Raw genomic sequence first — 20,781 nt, 5'->3', positions numbered from 1 at the left:
GTGTGTGAACAATATGAAATCTGGGCATCCTAAAAAAAAGAATAGGAAAACAGCAATTTTCAGGGAACAAGGGAGATAACCATAAGGTCTGACTGCCTTCAGGGCCAAGCAGAACAGAGTCATATTTCTCTTCTTGCAGAAAGCGAATAGGAGAAATACTGCTGAATTCTTTTCCCAGCAAGGAATAACCCTGGGAAAGGAATGCGTTCCCAGGGGAGGTCTCTAAAATGGCCGCTCTGGGAGTGTCTGTCTTATGTGGTTGAGGATAAGGGATGAAGATAAGGAGACCCTGGTCTCCTGCAGTGCCCTCAGGCTTGCTAGGATTAGGAAATTCCAGCCTGAAAAATTCTAGTCAGACTGGTTGTCTGCTCTCCAACCTGGTTTCTTTCCTGTTAAGATGTTTGTCAATAACAAGGCATGCCCAGCAGGACATGGAACTTCATCAGTAATTCTAATTTCGCCCTGGCCTTGTGATCTTGTTCTGCCATTTGCCTTATGATTTTTATTGCCCTATGAAGCATGTGATTTTTGTGACCCACTCCCTATTCATACACTCCTCCCCTTTTGAAATCCCTAATAAAAACTTGCTGGCTTTGCAGCTCAGGTGGGCATCACGGAAACTGCCGACATGTGATGTCTCCCTCCAAGGCCCAGCTGTAAAATTTCTCTCTTTGTACTCTTTCTCTTTGTTTCTCAGACTGGCCGACACTTAGAGAAAATAGAAAAGAACCTACGTTGAAATATTGGGGGCTGGTTCCCCCAACAGATCTTATTTAGAAAGATCTGTTACATCTTTCTAAATTTAAATGTTACAAGAATTACATATATAGAAAAATGGAAAATAAAAATTGATATAATAATATCAAGTATGAATATTAACAGTAATTACATCTCTGTATACAAAATATGTTATCTCAATACTTTCCCATTTAATTGCATTTATGTACCAAATGTATTTCATTGACCATCTACACATTTTTAGTTTTGATAAAAATGAATTTTATTAAAATAAGGAGAAATCCATGGAAGGACTACACAATAGAAAGAGAGAAGAGAAGCTTATCAGTTAAATAAAATAGACCCAGAAAAAAGTGGGGCAAGATGGCAGTTAGTATTCTTCAGCAATTGTCTCTCCACAGAAACATCAATTTAAACTAATATTCATGAACACACATACATATAAACTTCACAACAGCTAAGGAAACCAAGTGACAGATTACAGTACCTGGTTTAGCACAATAATAAGAAAAGACACAATAAAGGTAACAATTTTATGTTACCCATGTCACCCCTCCCCTAAACCCAGGCAGTGCAGGATGGAGAGAATTACCAGCCAACTTAAGGGGCAAAGAGGAAATAAGGATAGGAGTTTGTCTTGAACCCCTAACACCAGTCTATCAGAGTAAAAGCCAGCACTGGGCAGACCCCCACACCAATACCCTGGAATGAGCCTCCATCCCTATTTTGACACCAGCAGGAACCTATAGTCCCTGTGAGGCAAATTCAATCTCCAGTTTACATCAGGGCCAGCTGACTACAGTAGTCTTGGGCTCCAGACAATGCTCAGTAACATACAGGCCTCAATGGCAATGTGCTTCGGGCTTGACCCAGCACTTCACCAATCTACCTGAGACAAGATTCCATCCTTGCACTCCACTGATACCCCAGTGCTTAGGGTTTCTCCCTGTGCGGCAATGACCACAGCAGTCCCAGGATTAGGGACCATGCCAGGTGGGCTCCCCAGAATTTAAGAAAGGGATTACTACTGAAAAAGTTCTCAAAGCCAGTCTGGGAAGTCAGGAATTATGATGCACTTCTTCAAATGTGCAGGTATAAATGCATAGTCACAAGGATCAAGAATAATTCAGAAAACACGAAATCATCAAATGCACATTACAAAGTGCCAGTGACTGATGCTAAAAAAAAGGGAGTCATATGAACAATCTGACAAAGGATTTTGAAATAATTGTTTTTAAGGAAGGTCATTAAACTTCAAAAAATGCATAGAAATGATTCAGTGAAATGAGGAAAACAATAAGTGGCCAGAGAGATTGAAATAATTTTAAAAATCAAGCAGAAATCCTGAAACTGAAAAATACTATGAACAAAATAAAAAATTCAATAGAAAGTATCAATAGCAGAATTGATCAAACATAACAAGAATCTGTGAAAATGAATACAGAGTATTTGAAAAAATATAGTCAGAAAAAAAAGGAAGAAAGAATGTAAACAAAGAATAAAGAAAGCTTCTAGGGAGGCCTCTGGCACCTTACAAACATGGTGGAAGGCAAAGTGGGAGGCAGCACATCACGTGGCAAAAGCAGGAGTAGGAGAGAGAGAGTGCAGGGGAGGTGCCACACACTTAAATGACCAGATCTCACAAGAACTCACAATCACGAAGACAGCATCAAGCCACGAGGAATCTACTAACCATGATCCAAACACCTCCCATCTGACCCCACCTCAGGCACTGGGGATTGCAAGTGATCATGAGATTTGGGCGGGGACAAATATCCAAACTGTATCATTCCTCCTACTGTGTAATAGAACACCAGAACTTACTTCTCCTAACTAATAGTAACTTTACATTCACTGACCAACCTCTCTCCACCCTTCTCTCCCCTCAATTTTCCCTAATCCCTGGTAAAAACTGCTTTACTCTCTGCTTCTATGATACTACTTTTGTTTTTTTCTTCAGGTTCCATATCTGACTGAAATCATGTAGTATTTTTCATTCTACAAAAAAAGATGTTTTTGTTTATCCATTCAACAATAATTTTTGGGGCCTTAGATGATTTATTTAAAACTCCCTTATTAAGTTGTGTTTGTGTGTGTGTGTGAGTGTGTGTATGCGTGTGTGTTGCCTTAAATTTACTAAGGCTTCAATTAATGGTTCTAAAAATTAAAAACAAGACAAAACATGGAGTTAGCTCTGGGTATTGGCCTATATGTGGATATCCCATAAGCTGTTTATAATTTGGTCATTAGAAACCCACATGCTGCTTTGGCTGTTACAAATTTGAAATTAGTCATATTTTTGTGCTTGCAGCAATTTCACTGAAAAAAAAATGTAACTGATTTATATTGATCCAAGTAGTAACAACTACATTTTTGGCTCTCCAGTTGGTTCTTTTAAAAAATTATCCTCTATTTAATTAGTTGCCTTTAATTAATTGCCTTAGTGCCTTCACTAGGAAATTTATTCTGGATTGCTAACCTGTATAATCATAAGAAAAAATATACCAAAAAACCTAGGTATCTGCTCAGGTGACTCACTGAACAGAAATGAAGTGAAATCAGCATTTTCAAGGGATAATCCATACCTTAAAGGGAATGCTTCCATGTCTTCATTTATGTTCTGCCTTCCACCTGGATGCTTTTCCTCTCTCTTTTCCCTAGCTAATGTTTATCATGCATGCATTTGTTTAAGTTTCACTTTCTCAGGAAAATTTAATTATGTCACTAATCTATCCAATCTGACCAATTCCTTCCCCATTCATTAAAGCTAAAGTACAAGGCCCTACTGGATAAACACATGTGTCCTTATTAGATTCCCGACATCACATACCTCACCCTCTCCTTCTCTCACTCCTAACAGTGGGCTATACTGCCTTCCTTGCTGTTTATCAAACATACAAGTCATATTCTTTTCTCAGGGTCATGCCATTGCTGTTCCATCACTGGGTACACTCTGTTCCAGTTGCAACAAATCTAGCTCCCCTACCTCATTTATATCTTTCCTCATATGTCATTTACTTAATTTTGTCTAATCCAAATATTCTATTTAAAATGAAGTTCCCCAATCATGCATCAAACTCATTTCTGACTTTATTTTCCTCCATAACACCCATCATTATCTGTTATATCATACTGTATACTATACCCTAGACTATTAACTTCGAAAAGACAAAAAAATTTTGTCTGTTTCATTGACTGGTGTATCCACACCTACACTCCATAATACTTGGAATAATGCCTGGCTTGTAGTAAGTGCTCAATAATTACTTTTGAGTAAACAAATGAATGGGTGAATTATTTATATTAAGGACTTTTAACCGGAGAATTGTTGATTCTATCTGGTTTACAGATTGGCTTCATAGGCTCAATGAGTCTCTTGAAATTGATTATAAAAAAATATGCCTAAGTCTGCCTGTGTAATTTGTGGGAAATGTGTGGGTAGCTATCATAAATATGAGATATAAGAGACTGCAAATGTAATTTACTTTTCAACATTCAATATGTTTTAGGTGCTCAAAATGATATTTGACATTATTACTATATTGAATGGTATATTCCTGTTTATTCGTGTTTCTTTCAATGTACTACAATAAAAACTTTTCAAAAATTCTGAACTCATGGTATCTAACATGTTTAAACTTATATTATCTCATATTTAAAATAATCTTTATTCTTATATTATCAAGCATAAAGCAAGCTAGTATTGCTCAATAAATATTTGATGAACTGGCTGGATGTGGTGGCTCATGTCTGTAGTCCCAGCACTTTGGGAGGCCAAGGTGGGTGGATCACTTGAGGTCAGGAGTTTGAGACTAGACTGGCCAACATGGAGAAACACCGTCTCTACTAAAAATGTAAAAATTAACCGGGTGTGGTGGTGGGGGCCTGTAATCCCAGCTACTCAGGAGGCTGAGGCAGGAGAATTGCTTGAACTCGGGAGGCAGAGGTTGCAACGAGCAGAAATTGTGCCACTGCACTCAAGCCTGGGGTGACAGAGCAAGAATCTAACTCAAAAAAACAAAAACAAACAAACAAAAAATTGATGAACTCTACAGTATATTTACCTTCCCTTTTTTTTTTTTTTTTTTGAGACGGAGTCTAGCTCTGTCGCCCAGGCTGGAATGCAGTGGCGCCATCTCTGCTCACTGCAAGCTCCACCTCCCGTGTTCATGCCATTCTCCTGCCTCAGCCTCCTGAGTAGCTGGGACTACAGGCGCCCACCACCGCACCCGGCTAATTTTTTGTATTTTTAGTAGAGACGGGGTTTCACCGTGGTCTTGATCTCCTGACCTCGTGATCCGCCCGTCTTGCACTCCCAAAGTGCTGGGATAACAGGCGTGAGCCACTGCGCCTGGCTTTTTTTTTTTTTTTTTTTTTTTTAAGATGAAGTGTCACCCTGTCGCCCAGGCTTGAGTGCAATGGTACGATCTCAGCTCACTGCATCCTCTGCCTCCTGGGTTCTAGCAATTCTCCTGCTTCAGCCTCCTTAGTAGCTGGGATTACAGGCATGCACCACCACGTCTGGCTAATTTTTGTATTTTTAATAGAGATGGGGTTTCACCATGGTGGTCAGGCTGGTCTTGAGCTCCTGACCTCAGGTGATCCACCGGCCTTGGCCTCCCAAAGTGCTGGGATTACATGTACAGTATATTTAAAATGTAATTTAAAAGAAAAATAAAACTAGTTCAATTTGTTACACTGAATGAGTACATGCCCATCTCCTCTTATGCCCAAGACTCCATTAAAAGCAGATAGATGGAACAAAAGTTAAGACAACAACCAAAACGAGAACAGGATGTGACTATTATTGAACACAGAATTGAATTACATTGTTGGAAGATGGACAATGAATAAAGAAGCAATGTCTAACAAAGACGGGTTTAGAAGACTTGGGCCTCTAACTCTCAGAAGGGCTAAAGTATACCTGGGATACTTAGAACTTCAAAAAGGCAGGCATAATATGATAACAGTAAAGAGGAAAACTGAAATCTCAAGATTACTTAAAAATCTATAGCTAAATATTCATTCCCATAAACCTTCCACACATAAACTCCATACTCTACCCTATAACCATTCTTAAAAGTACCTTCGGGACTGATTCCACCACCACCACCACCACCACCACAACAACAAAATAAACCAAGGAAGAGAAAAAAATACAATCTAATAAATTATGGCTGAAGTCCAAGATGTCAAAAGATCATGATGGAGGACTGACATTAGCAAGACGGTGGACTAGGAAGTCTCTTTTTACTCACAGAAACACCAAGTCACAGAAACACCAATATATGGACCATAATGCCACTGCAAGAATGCTAGAGACTGCCTCAATGTATTTGACAAGCTACAGTACTCAGGCAAATGTAAAAGCAAGAAGAGTTTCCACAAAAGGGGAGGGAAAATTCATAATGTTTTGTACATCCATCTATACCCATGTGCAACCAGGAGGAAACTTCTCATATGGGGACTCTTCTTTCATGACAGAGAAGTATAATCTGTGAAATAAAAAAAATCACTAGAAAAATTAAAAGGCAAATTTAAGCAAGCAAAAGCAAAACTCAACAAACTTAAAAATAGGACAATTAAAACTATGGAGTCTAACAGAAAGAAAAAAGACTAAAGAAAACTGAACAGAGCCTATGGGACCCGTGGACGTCATCAAGTATAACAATATACACATCGTGGGAGTCTTAGAAAGGAGCAGAAAGATATTTCAAAAGAAAAATACTCGGAAAAATCCCAAATTTGAGGAAAGACATAAATATTAATATTCAAGAAGCTCAAAGGACTCACTTAAAGAAATCTACACTGGGATACATTTTAATCAAACTTTCAAAGGCCAAAGATTAAAAAAATAATTTTAAGAGCAGCAAGAGAAATGCAACTTTTCAAATACAAAATATTCTCGCTAAAGCTATCTGCAGATTTCTCTTAAGAAATATTGGAGGCCAGAAAGCAGTGAGCTGATTCATTCAAAGTGCTAAAAGAAAATAAACAACATACCCCCCGCTCAAAAAAAAATCCCCATTAACCAAGAATCCTATTATCTGGCAAAACTGTCTTTCAAATTGAGTAAGAAACTAAGACATTTCCAGATAAATAAAAGCTAAGGGTGGTTGTTACCACTAGATCTCCCCTGGAAGAAATGCTAGGAACAGTAATCCTTGGAATCCAGCTTTGAGGAAGTCCAAACTTCCGTATGAAGAGGCCCACATAGAAGAGAACCAGGTGTTTGTTCCACATTGATAAGAAATTAAAACACACATGCTTGAAAAGCTACACACACACATATATTTAAATACATACAGATGCTCCTCAATTTACAGTGGGATCATTTCATGATAAACCCATTTTATGTCCAAAATATATCCCAAGAAACCTATCACAAAGTCAAACAATCATAAGTCAAACCAGGGTAAGTTAAATACTATCAAGATATGCAATATATATTGTCATAATGGATACACATATACATGTTATACTTGAATTCCAAAGCCACATACTTTGTGACTCGATTACTTTACTTCTCCTTATTACTTCTGGAAGACCTTCCTTATCTAATTATTCAAATTCATTTTTAAAATAAATGAAGGCTGGGAGCAGTGGCTCATGCCTATAATCCCAGCACTTTGGGAGGCCGAGACGGGCAGATCACGAAATCAGGAGTTCGAAACCAGTCTGGCCAATATGGTGAAACCCCATCTCTACTAAAAATACAAAAGAAAATTATCCAGGCAAGGTGGTGCCTGCCTGTAATCTCAGCTATTTGGGAGGCTGAGGCAGGAGAATCGCTTGAACCCAGGAGGCGGAGGTTGCAGTGAGCCAAGATCGCACCACTGCACTACAACCTGGACAAGGTCACAAAGCTTACAGTTTATATTTAGTTTATGAATAGAGGTAGTGGTTCCAGAAATCAGAATGACTTAAGTTTGGGCTATGTTGTTATAGGTGGTTGGCCTTGGCATATATCTAAACTGTGGCCTCCATTTTTATTTTTCTTTGACAACATCTTTTAAATATTGTAATAACTAAACTTTCTTATTGTGTTAGCTACCTGAACCATAGACAGATGATACTTGTAGTAAAATAAGAACAGCGTAAAGGTGATGAAGAAGGAATTGGAATGTAAATGTAACGCACAAACTTACATATATTTAACCTTTGTAACAACCCTTATAAATAAATAAATTGGTGTTCAAAGAGTTTATCAAAATAACTGAGATTTAAACTCAAGTATGAGAGTCTTCAAAGTCCCTATTCTTACTACTGTACTCTTGTGTCTTACATGCCCAGCCCACACGATCTTGTAAAATATTAAATAAAATCATGTAGAATCAGGAAGTGTTCCACAGCTAATATATTACAGAAAGTTGAATATAGAATCATGCTTATGCCAAATATTTTATAAAGTACTGCTACACAATGTGCGGTCTGGAAAACCATCATCATCATCTGGATGCTTTTTGGAAATGCAAGACCACCTCTGAGCTACTAAATCAAATATCTGTGATTGGAGCCTAGCAATCTAGTATTACATAAGGTGATACTAATATATTCTCAATTTAGAAACTAATGCCTTACAGTACTTGGAAGACAGAAGCATCCACTTAAAATTTCCTCTTTTCATAGATACAGAGACTAAAGATAAGTATATTTTATCCTTTGAAGTTCTGATAATTAACAAGTGGCAGAGCCAAAATTAAAATCAAGATATTTTGATTACCAGTTAAAGGCAATTCAGTAAGATTTCACTTGAAACATGTCAAAGTTTGACTTTAAATAGCATAAAAGTTTTGTTTCAAACGAAAGAATCAAAATTTTATATACACATATAAACTTATCTAAATATGCTGAAACGACAATTGCTCTTGCAAGGGCATTTGCAGAAAATTGAATCTCACTCAGCAGGCTACCAAATCCAGCTGGAGTAGGGCAACGACCAGGGAGGTTCACAAAAGAAACATGCTAAGGATACATTGAGCCAGCATGAACTGATGAGGCATGATTATAGAGTGTTGAGACATAATCATAGCATAAAGAACAGACTAGAGTACCGAAATCAGAAATATGACCAAAGGCTTTGCAAACATCTGCTTTAACCCAACTCAAGATTACTATTCACATTTGCTCAGGGTAAAACAATCTGCTGGTCACACTTTATCAAACTTAGATGTCAATTTTGAAACATGAGAGTGGAAAGAAATACATATCTGCATATATATTCAAATGTACTTAAATACTCAGAAAAAACATTTTAAATATAGGTAATAGATAAAAACGCAAATATATAGACAGGTATGGCATTTTAGTATTCCTGATGTCATGAAATTTCTATTTTAACTTTGGTAACTTTGGGGAAAAAATTGGATACCATTGTCTTCACTTGGAGATTGGCAAGTACTTTAGCCTATAAATTATCCTTAAAATGTCCAAGAGCAAATAAAACTTTTCTTAAGACTTCATTAACCATTCTTACTTGAACAAGGACTTTTCTAAAATGTCCAAAAAGTATATAGTCTGCCACTAGGGACAGACACCTACCCTATTCTTCTTTTATGTCGGTGTCCCTGCTGCCAGTTCTATCTTTGGAAGAAAAGCAGGACTATATATCCCAAATGCCACTAACAATCCTGTGGAAAGGAAGTCACAGGCTGCTGAGATTGTATATAAAAATATTATGTTTTGGCTTCCCTTAAAAAAATCTAAAAAGAATGCACTTACCTTCCTGCAAGGCAACAATTAACACTGACCTATTAGTGGTTGCCATGTTGCAGAGACAAGGGCTCTTATTTTGCCACAGTGCCCACCTTAGTTAAATTCATTCTATTTTATAATCTGTTTCCCCCTGTACATTTATGAGCTTATCTTTGCTGTGGGACTTATAGAAATAAGAGTTCACTTCAGATAACAAGTCATCCCCAATGATTTAGGTGGAAGTTTGCCCATAATTACTTTGCTACTTCATGAATAAACTACCTTCTGATGATATTGATAGCTTAGAATGCAAATGCTGCTTGTACTCATAGTATTCTTCTCCTGAATATCCAATAACATTACTTCTTACTTTAGGTTGAAAATAGTAAAATAAATAAACTATTGATAACTGTAGTTTAAATTACAAATGTAAATTAAAAACCTTTTCCCCTATGTTTTAATAAGATTATTTAAAAATTATACCACCTCTCCTCTTTGGAAATCTAAATTTCATTAATATTGCCAGCAATGTTATTCCAATCATCTCTTTGTACATAAGGGAATCAGACTGGCATTTGCTTTTATTCTATTTAAACATCTATGAAGAACAAGAGTAAAATGATAAATATGCTAAACGTATATTTGAATTGCAATTTAATACAACGCCTAGATTTTATGTTTGGAGAGTATTCCTTTGGCAATAAAATAATTATCATTTAAAAGAACTAGAAAAGCTGAGAAATAATACATATTATTCAGCTTTCCTCTCTACTCGTTTCTAAGAGCTGTCTTTGTTCTTCCTTCTGGGCATGAAATGAAGATAAGCCACTCTGACTTTCTCCTTCTGCTCATTTGTTTCTTCTGGCTATGGCTGTTCCTGAAGGAAATAGAAAGTGTCAGGAAGCTGAGAAAGCAGCTTATATGTTATCTGGGCTGGTTTTTCTGTTCTCTGCCTGCTCAATAAGAAACTGTGGAATAATTTCCTCTCTTCAGTACTGTTAGGGTTCTTTTGGGCAAAGGGGAAGAAGATACATTCTTTAAAAGTTTCTATGTTGAGATGGTTTTAGGCTCACAGAAAGGTTGCAAGAATAATACTGAGAGTTTTTATATCTATTTCAACTAGCTTCCTCTTAACAACTTATGTGACCGTAGAACTTTTATCAAAACTAAGAAATTAACACTGATATAATCATGATATAATCATATTAGCAAAAACACAAAACATATTTAAATTTCATCAAAGTTTTTCTACTGTTGCCTTTTTTATGATTTAGAATGTAAGCCAGGATCTCACACTGCATATTCTTATTATGCCTTCTTAGTTGCCTCCAATCTAAGAGACAGTATGGGTCTTTTCTTTAAAAAACCTGACATTTTTGAAACATAGTGACCAGTTATTTTTTGGAATGTATTTCAACTTGGATTTATCTGATAGTTTCTCTTGATTAGACTGAAGCTGTGCTTATTTGGACTGACATAGTAGAGCGATATGCCTTTCTCAATTAATCTTATCAGGAAGATATATGATGTTCCTATGTCTTATTACTGATGATATTAACTTTGACCATTAGGCACTTGCTAGGATTCTCCAATGTAAAGTTAACTATTTTTTGCTTTGTAATTATTAAATATTTAATAGGAAATACATCAAGACTATGTAAATATCCTGTTTCTGCTTTAACTTTTTTTCACCAATTTCTACATTGAAAAGTGGATTGGCGATTTTTTAATTCTTGCTTTCCTTCCATCATTAATATATGAAATTCTTCCATAGGAAATATTTGTCTATCTCCTCCATCTATTGATTTATTTTGTCGTTTTTTGTATTATATAGTCCAATGAGTTTTTATTTTATGTTGGGAGGTATAATTTAATACCATTGTTATAGTATAAGGTATTTCAACTTTGGCTATGGGGAGTTGTTTCAGAATAATTCTTGCCTCCTTCTGATATTACCTGTCCTTTTAAAAGCTATTTTTAAGCAGTTCCTTATGTTGAGGCAACATAAAATGCTTCAGGTTCACCTTGTACTTTTCCTGTCTCATTTCTGGAACTGCCGATTTTCCAAGGAGTCCACGTTCCTTTTAAAGTATAATGGTATTTAGAAACCAAAATCTTGTCTGTAGATGATGTGCTCATTGTTACTATGATGTCACTGCTGCTAGCATTTCTGATTGGATAGAGCAAGGGTATATATCTATATATCTCCATATATCATATGTATCATAATATATATCAATATGTTATATAAAATACATATAATGCATAAATATTTCCACACATACACATAAACACAGTAACTAGTTCACTCATACATCTGTATAAATCTCTCTATATACAAAGAGTTTATTTGATGCTTCTCATTTCAATCCAGCATCACAGAATTCATTTTGGCCTTTCCTTTTTTCTGATTTATAACTGCTTATGTGCACGGTGAGAATATCTTTCATTATCTACAATATATTTACTTGTTTGTTCAACCCTAGGAAACAAATAAAGTAGCTTCAGAATTCCTAACTCATAGTCTTACGGAAAACAAATTTACTAACTAGAGTACAATGATTGCATATGATTATTTTTGTCTTATGCTATATAATATGCAGTCAAAATTCTGTTTTCTAAAGTCCGTTAGTTCACTTCCTCTCTTTCCCATCAGTGGAGGAAGTTTTAATAAAGATCTTGAAGAATTTCACTAAATCTAAAGCTAAGAATGCATCTAAACTTCCACAACAACTAGAACCAAAAACCTGAATATTATAAAATATTACTTAACACCAGCTGTTTTCTTACATCACTTTTTCTTGTTCTAAGTAACTAGTACATTGATTTTTCCCCCTTTAGCATTCGTTCTGTATGCAAACCATGTCTTTTCATTCTTCTGTTCTTTCCACATGTTAGGAAACAGGTGCATGTCAAGCCCTGGAATTTTACATGTTAGGCCTTTATCCAGCTCCCTGTTCAAGCCATGGAGAAAGTTGCTGGTAAAACTGGTGCTAGGTGGGTACTAATCTGGCATTCACTTTGGTGATCATCATAATTCATCTTTCCAGCACAATAGTTGTCTGTTATTTTTCATATAAAATTCTCAGAATGTCCCCGCTTACCTTATATTTAAGATTTCTTAAAACTACACCAAAACCACACCAAAAACCTCAAAAAACAACACCAAATCTACTCATCTCTCCCACTATTGGTAGTCACTTATTGCTATGTTTAGTTCAAGACTCCTTGACAGTGTCACAGACAGTATTCTCTGAATCCACACTCTCTATATATTGTTGCTATTTCATCTAGTCAGTCTCAGTCTTTCTTTGATTTACTTCTTCTCTATCTTGAAGCATATGGTCTAAATCAAGGGTCAGCAAACTTTCTTTTCAGCAAGGCCAGTTAGTAAATATTTTAGGCTTGATACTCATACAGCCTCTGTTACTACTACTCAATTGTATCACTGTAGCACTAAAACAGCCATAGCGCCACATAAATAAATGTGTTTTGGTTCCAATAAAATTTATTTATAGACATTGAATGGAATGTGTATTTTATTATATTTGTATGCTATGAAATATTATTATAAAATTTTTCCCACAATTAAAATGTGTAAACCATTTTTAGTTCACAGCTTGTACAAAAACAGGCAGTGGCCAGGATTTGGGCAAAGAGCTTTCATTTGACAATCTCTTGTCTAAATAATAAATTTAGCCACTTTCAAAATACCTGATACACAAAAGTGAAAGAAAAGCAGAATAACCATAGTAAAGAATTCCACTCAGGGAAAGAGATGCATCGTGCCTTGACCATTGATTCTAAATGTCCTATTTAGTAGCTTCTCAAACAGGGATAGTGAATCTCAGAGGTGTGTCCATATTAGCTTGCCTTTCTTAGCAGATTGTTCCCACTGGAAGGCTTTTTCTTATGAAAGTTGAATTGTTTTTCCTACTTTTACCTAGTCATTTTCTACAAATTTACAACAAATATCTATCTCTATCTAGCAGCTTTTATGTACCAAGAACATTTCTAGACCTTTTGGATATAAAGTGAACAAAATAGACAAAAATATCTATATTCGTGAAGCTTACATTCCAGTATGTCTTTTGGTTAGGATTCAGTAGAGACAGATATCAAAGAATAAAAACAATATAAAATTAAATTACATGCTATCTTCTAGGGGTTGAGCATTACGCAAGAGAAAGAGTAAGTGAAAAGAGAGGAGAAATGAGATGGAGGTGGCCAATTTTCAATCAGGTAGTCAGAGCAGATCTCACTGAGAAGGTGACATGAGAACAAATGATTTGAGGAGGTGAGGGAATTAAGCTTAGGAAAATCAAGGACTGAAAGTTTCCAGGAAAGATAAGAGCCATCACAAAAGTCCTAATGTCCCAAGACTAATGTGTCTGAGGCAGAGTGAGGCAAGGCAAGTATAGCAGGAATGGAAGACAGAGGATTGAAACAGAATGTTCTGATTTAATTCCATGGAGACAAATAGCTTAGCTAAACAGGTACAAGCCAGAATATAAAAAGAAAATGGGATAGAGAGAGAGAGAGAGAACTGTTACTCTTTAATAAAGACATGACCTCAGTGATTTAGATGTTAAGGACATTTCATTAATAAAACTTTTGGGCAATCCGTTTCTTCAATTTTACCTCTTGTCTTCTCTCTCCTTTCCTTTAATCTACTTAGGATGTGTATAACCTAGGGACAGATGGAAACCTCAGTCTCATTGAGTAAAAGGGAAAAGGGAGGGAAGGAGGGAGGAGGAAAATAAAGAAGAAAAGGAGGAAAGGAAAAATCAATAAAGGAACAAAAGAAAAGGTAAAAACTGTACTACTTAAAAGAGATTTTTATATATATTAAATAGCCTCAAGTAACATGTAGTAAACTCAAATATTCTCATTCTAACAACTTATTAATATTAGAAACTTCTCTTTAAAATGAGTATAGATCTTTCCATTTTTATCAAGTGTCAATGCTATCTGGTTTGAGGCTGCATTTTGAATAGAACATTAAACAATCCTGATGGTATTAGAATCTGAAGTTTTAATAAAGTTTTCAGAATATGAAATTATTAAAAATGCAAAAATAATAACTCCTTTGAAAATCTATGAGGGATTATTTCTAATTTCACAGAATCATTAGGGCACTCTGTATATTCCTTTGATTTTAGTATCTCCTAGCTCATATGTGAAAATTTTGTTGCCAAGCAAGAAGGTTAATAGTGCATGTTGATTCACTTCTAGGTTTGGTGTTCCCAAGTAATTACAATTTTTATCTTTTCTTTTTGAACAGAAATGAAGTATTTCTAAATATTACACAATCTGAATTTTAATGGCTACCTAGGGCAAAATGGGGCTTATCATAGTTCCATGATCTTTTTGACTATGGAAAGCATGAACTACTACTCGTTAATAAAAACATGACCTCAATGATTTAGATGTTAAGGGCATTTCATTAATAAAAGTTTTGGGCAGTCCATTTCTTGTATTTTACCTCATCTCTTTTCCTATAATCTACTTAGGATGTGTATGATCTAGGGACAGATGGAAACCTCAGACTCTTTGGGTAAACAGTCATATAAACATAAATGCAAAAGAGAAAGCAATGTAGTATGTCATGAAATACTTTCATTTATTACAATAAGCACTTTTTTATTCACAAACTTATTTTACTAACTTTTAAATTATTTTTGCTTTTTACTTCCCATTTCTTCTTTCTGGATACATTTTTTTCTTCTTCCTGAAGTATTTAATGCGCTATCATGAGGGCCCTGATTAGAAATATTTCCAATTTTTTGCGTATTTAAAATTATCTTAATTAGCCCTGGCTCTTGGTTAGGGGATACGGGGTTCATAGTTCTTTTCCTCATCATTTGAAATACATTACTCTGTTGTCTTCTGGCTCCTTAACAACTGATAATAAATTTTAAAATAATAATAAGTTGCAATCTCTAATATATATCAGTTTTTCTCTACATGCCAGGGATGGTTCTGAGGATTAAGTGAGATAATATGTGCAAAGTGCTTAAATGAGGAGTCCAAGGCACAGAAAGATGGAGTAGCAAACAACTGAGCTTGCACAACTTAGAAATCACTGAACAGAATTCGAGTCCAGGGACCTCTAACAACAAATGTGTTGCTCATGTGAGTTGTATTGTCCTGTAGTTAACCTGCCTTTATCACCTGGTAGTTTTAAAGGTTTTTTTTTTTAATTTTTTTCGTTAGTGTTTTACCTTTTTACTAGAAAATGTCTATATCTAAATAGCATTTATTTCTACTTTATCTTCTCAGCACATACTGGTTTTCTTAAATCTAAGTCTCATGTTTCTCTTCGATGCTGCAAAATTCTTAGTCATTATCTGTTTGACTATTGTATTTTTCTCATTCTGCTTTATCTTTATACAGCAAATAATAGTTGTGCAACTGTGCTTCTCATTTTATCCTTCCTCTTTTTATTTTCATTTTTATAATTTTTTTCTTCATTCATCAACAATACGTTTATTCATAGTATGTCTTAGAATATATACTTATTAATTTTTATTAATTTAATAATTTTCTCTCCAGCTGTGTCATATTAGTCTCCAGAAAATAGTCAGATTAGCCAATCTACTCTTCAGATTTTTAATTGAAAAAAATAGTTTTTATTCAACTAATGTAAAAAAATACCTTTTTTCACATTTAAGATTTCTTATTGCTTCTTTTCACATGTGTCTCTTTTTTCTTTGTTTATTGTTTTCTTTTATTTTTTTTGGAAGCCTTTCCTATATTTTGAAGATATAATATATATACATATATAATTTCAGATTATTTTGTTGACTCCAGTTCTTTGGAGTTCTACTCTATTGATTGCCCTTTATGTTGCTGAAATTTCATCAGTGTATTAATGTCTTATAATTTCTGTTTAAGTGTTTATCTTCTGTGGAAATGTTTACCCTTCAGCTTACCTAAATCCTGTTGCTTGGTTGCTTAACCTGGCATACCTACAGGCTGTCATCCATCCATCATTCTTTTATTTAAAGAAGATGTTATTCCAATTTGATACTTTTTATTTTTTTCTTTTTAAATCCTGGCTTCCCCGTGTTTTTCTAATAAAAAAAAACTGTGAAAAATAATTACAGAATGATAATAGAGGATTATTAGCTTGCAGGGAGCCTATATAGTACTATAAATTGTTTCATTCTCTCTTGAAACAGTTCCTCATTGAAATGCATGTTTACTCTGAAAGCACTTGAAAATCTAAAGCTTCTCTTATTTCTGGTGATGTTTTAAAGGTTCTTAAAGATATGTCAGATGCATACACCAAAAAATACCTCTCAGAATCTGAAGTACATTTAGAATAATCCGTATGAAATGACATGGCAATATAAATTCTTTTCTACTTGTAAGTATACCAGGATACAGAACCTAATGGAATATTTATAATATTTTTTAGTTATTTATTATTGTAGAGAATCTTTTAAAATATTAAACTGATATTAAGAGTATTGATGTCTAAGTAAAACATATTATTACAAAACAGTAACTTTGCTCATTGATTTTAGCTAAATTTACAAAGTAAGAGAGCTGCTTCTAATCATTGCAATTGAACTACACTTACTTTTTCAGGATCACTGACAACTCTAGCTGTCATTATAATTTTCTGTGAAATCATAGTAGCAAACTTCTTTTACTATGTAATCAGAATTATAAAAATGAGAAAGAAATTAAAAACAAAGAAAGGGAGAAAAAACAAGGAAAGAAGAAAAAAATAAAATAGATGACTGTCACAGCAATAACATTTTAATAATGTAATATATTTCGTTTCTTCTTTTATATCCTCAAACTTGAATCCCATAAAAATTCACTCATTACTTTTGTTGTAAAGACAACTTCAAAACCAATAAATAATTAAATTTCATAGAAACAATAAAAACCTATCATTGTTTTTAATTCTTCTTCATGATATATTTGGATATAACAATATTATAACTGGTTTGTTTTTCTTCAAATTTAAGCGCAATGATAATTTCATTAGCAATTCAGTGATAAGTGTTTTCTGTTATTACTATTATTTGTTTTACAGTTACAGTTTAACAAATATCTTATATCCAGATTTTAGAATACATTAAAAATAGTTTTTAATAGAATATTTTAATTTCATGGCATTTCTTTGTACACCATCCTTTCTGCTTATTTTCAATTAGGTGTATCTCATCCTTTCTGAGGTAAAAGTTTCCATACTGGTGATCTTTGCATTGCTCTTCTGCAGAATGTCAATAAATATGTTGCCATAGATTTTTTTCTCAAATAAACTTATAAATTTCTGTGTTAAAGCCAATCATGCTTCTGTGTTAGAGAAGATTTTAGAACTTTTAATATAACATACATTGTAATCTTATACATTTTGTAGGACTTTAGCACATTCATTTAACATAAGACCTTTTATTTAAAGAATAATTTAGTATTCAATGACATTTTGAAAAATACTGACATAGGTCATTGTATTGATCAGAATAGTTTGGCTACGCTTCAGTAACAAACCAATCCAAAAACTATAGTGTAAACAAAAGCTTGTTTGTATTTTTTTCTCTTTGATACTACAGGAGAGCTCTGTTTATCCATGATTATTGCTGAGGGAGGCTTCCATTTCAACATACTGCAACATAGTTTGCAATGACAAGGAAAAACAGAGAAAGCTGGAGTGTTGATAGCTAGCAAATAAATGAGTGGTTCCAAAATGACACATGCAACTTTTAGAATTAGATACATGAGCTGGTTATGCCTAAATTCAACAGAAGGGGAAATTTCTCCTCAGCATAATCAGAAGTAGAAGAACGCTGGATATGGGTAAATGTTGGCAATGTTTAATAGGTCTTCTAATGTTGTCTGTAGTATGTTAAATCTCTCTGGATAAAGAGAAGTTTAGGGACTGTATTTTTGTAATACAATGTTAATAAATACAGTATTAATGATAAGTACATTATTGTGAGTTTATTTTGTGCCAAACCTGTATTATGCATTTTCTATGCATTTCTTTTTAAATTTTCACAATAAATTAAAAGAACCGAGCATGGTGGCTGATGACTGTAATCCCAGCAACTTGGGAGGCTGAGGTGGGAAGAGTGCATGAGGCCAATAATTCCAGATGAGCCTGGGCAATATAACAAGACCCCATCTCTAAAAAACAGTCCCTAAAATAATAAGTAATTAAAATATCCTTATAGCATTTAAAAAATATTTATATCATGGATATAGGTAAAGGATGACTGCATGCCTTTTCACAATCACACTAGTGTCTCACATGACTAGCCCAGAGTTCTCTGATTGTCTGAGGTTATATAAATTTTATTTTATTTACTACTGTCTATTGACTGTGTTTTGCAACTCCATAAGCATAGATACTGATTCATATAAAACTGATAGTACTACAGATGCCTCATGTCAGATAGCAATGCAAGTGAATTCTTAGTGAGAACAATGCAAATCGAGATTCAAGCATGCTGAAGATTTTACTCCAAAGCTTTTCATTATTTTTTATCGCCCAATAGAGCACCAACCAGTTTCACCTGTGATTTATAAATTTTATTCCAGCACTCTATATTCCTGTGAAAATAAAAACTTTCTTTTTCTCACATTTTTAAAAGTAATCTTATTATCCTTTTGGTTTCTCATAAGATGTTTAATATATTTTGACATTAATTTATTCTATATTTATATGAGAATTATGCTTTTAACTTTTTGAAAAGGGCTCTTCGAAAATTTAAATGCCCTGATGAGCTGAGGCTAAAAGAAGAAGGTATAAAATTGCTAATGTTGTAAGATAAAGATCCTAGAACTGTTCTTGATCTTGAATACTTCTGTGAACCACACATTGGAAGGAGTAGTGCTCATGTAAGGAGAGATAAGATAGAAAACACACAGAGAAGGCAGAGAAGAAGTGGAAAGAGCTGAGCATGGTGGCTCATGCCTATAATCCCAGCAACTTGAGAAGTTGAGGTAGGAGGATTGCCTGAGACCAGTAGTGAGATGGGCCTGGGTAATATAGCAAGACCCTATCTCTAAAAAATCGTTTTTCAAAAAATTAGCCAGGTGCACGCCTGTAATCTGATAGCTTGAACCCAAAGACTCAAGGCTGCAGTGAGCTATGATCACGCCTGTGAATAGACACTGCAATCTACCTTGGATGATAGATCGAGACCCCATCTCAAAAAACGGAAAGAGTCTTGACATTTTTCAAATAATTGATTCTACTCTTTTTGGAAATTCAGATCCAATGTTTGACTTTCACTAGACAGCCTAGAATCATTATCATAAATTAAGCGTGTCTTAAAGTAAAGTAAATGATTTTATTTGGTTACTTATTTGTAATGCCACCTAAAATACAAAAAACATTAAGGTTTTTCAACTAAAATATACATCAAAATATGTAGATAAGTGAGTGTAAGTGCAATGGATCCAAAGAAGGATTCTGCATAATGGATTGACAAACACTAGCCATTTTGTTCATTCCTATTGTCTCTAGAGCACATGCTAGAGACCCATAGGAACTGGAGGCTTAAAGTGAATGGTATAGACATTACTTTACCAACCCACATATAACAAGTGCCTGAAGTGTGGAAGCCCTGCTCTTGGGGCTTGACAAATATCAATGAACTCAGCTGACAAAAATCTCTCTCCTCACAAGAAGCTTATATTTTGGTAAGGCGTTGCTCTTAGTAAAGCTTGTTCTCTTTACTGTGGCTTGCTTTGCCTGCCCTCAGATATACGTGAGAGAGTACTAGATTACCACCAACTGGAAAGACATTCAGAAACTGGGAGTAAAGTCGATGTGATGGTTAATTTTAGGCATCAACTTGACTGGATTAAGAGATACTTAGACAACTGGTAAAGTATTATTTTGAGGTATGTTTGTGAGGGTGTTTCTGGAGGAGATTGGTATGTGAGTTGGTGAACCGAGGGGAGAAGATCTGCCTTCAATATGGGTGGGCACCTTCCAGTCACCTGGTAACCCAGATAGAACAAAAAGGCAGAGGAAAGGTGAATTCATTCTCTCCTGAAGCAGGAACACTCTTTTTCTCCTGCCCTTGGACATCAGAATTACAGGCTCTCCAGCCACTGAGCTCCAAAACTTGCACCAGCCTCTCTGCAACGCCCACCGGGGTTCTTAGGTCTTTGGCCTTGAACTGAGTTACACCACTGGCTTCCCCAGTTGTGATGCTTTTGGACTTGGACTGAGCTACGCTGTCGGCTTCCCTTGATCTCCAGCTTGCAAGTGGCCTATCATGGGACTTCTCAGCCTCCATAATTATGTGAGCCAATTCCCCTAATAAATCCTCTCTCATATATCAATCTTTGTGTAGATCATATTGTTTCTGTCTC

The 20,781-nt window shown here is 34.9% G+C and overlaps 1 long non-coding RNA gene across 1 annotated transcript in view, besides 1 other annotated feature; it reads right to left on the bottom strand.

Moving 5' to 3' along the window:
* Nucleotides 1–20,781, bottom strand: part of LOC105377913 (uncharacterized) — a 64,390-nt gene that overhangs the window by 27,702 nt on the left and 15,907 nt on the right. The gene's annotated exons all lie outside the window — the stretch shown is intronic.
* Nucleotides 12,949–13,118: an enhancer, noted in NCBI's record as "experimental_87095 CRE fragment used in MPRA reporter constructs". NCBI's record gives its function as "activates a minimal promoter by MPRAs in K562 erythroleukemia cells, with activity observed for both the introgressed and non-introgressed 6:102632507 variant alleles {active_cell/tissue: K562}" and the evidence as "EXISTENCE:reporter gene assay evidence [ECO:0000049][PMID:34662402]".

This window comes from Homo sapiens, chromosome 6 (assembly GCF_000001405.40).
Source record: "Homo sapiens chromosome 6, GRCh38.p14 Primary Assembly".
Lineage (NCBI taxonomy): Eukaryota > Metazoa > Chordata > Mammalia > Primates > Hominidae > Homo > Homo sapiens.
This window is presented reverse-complemented; position numbering and strand designations above follow the sequence as displayed.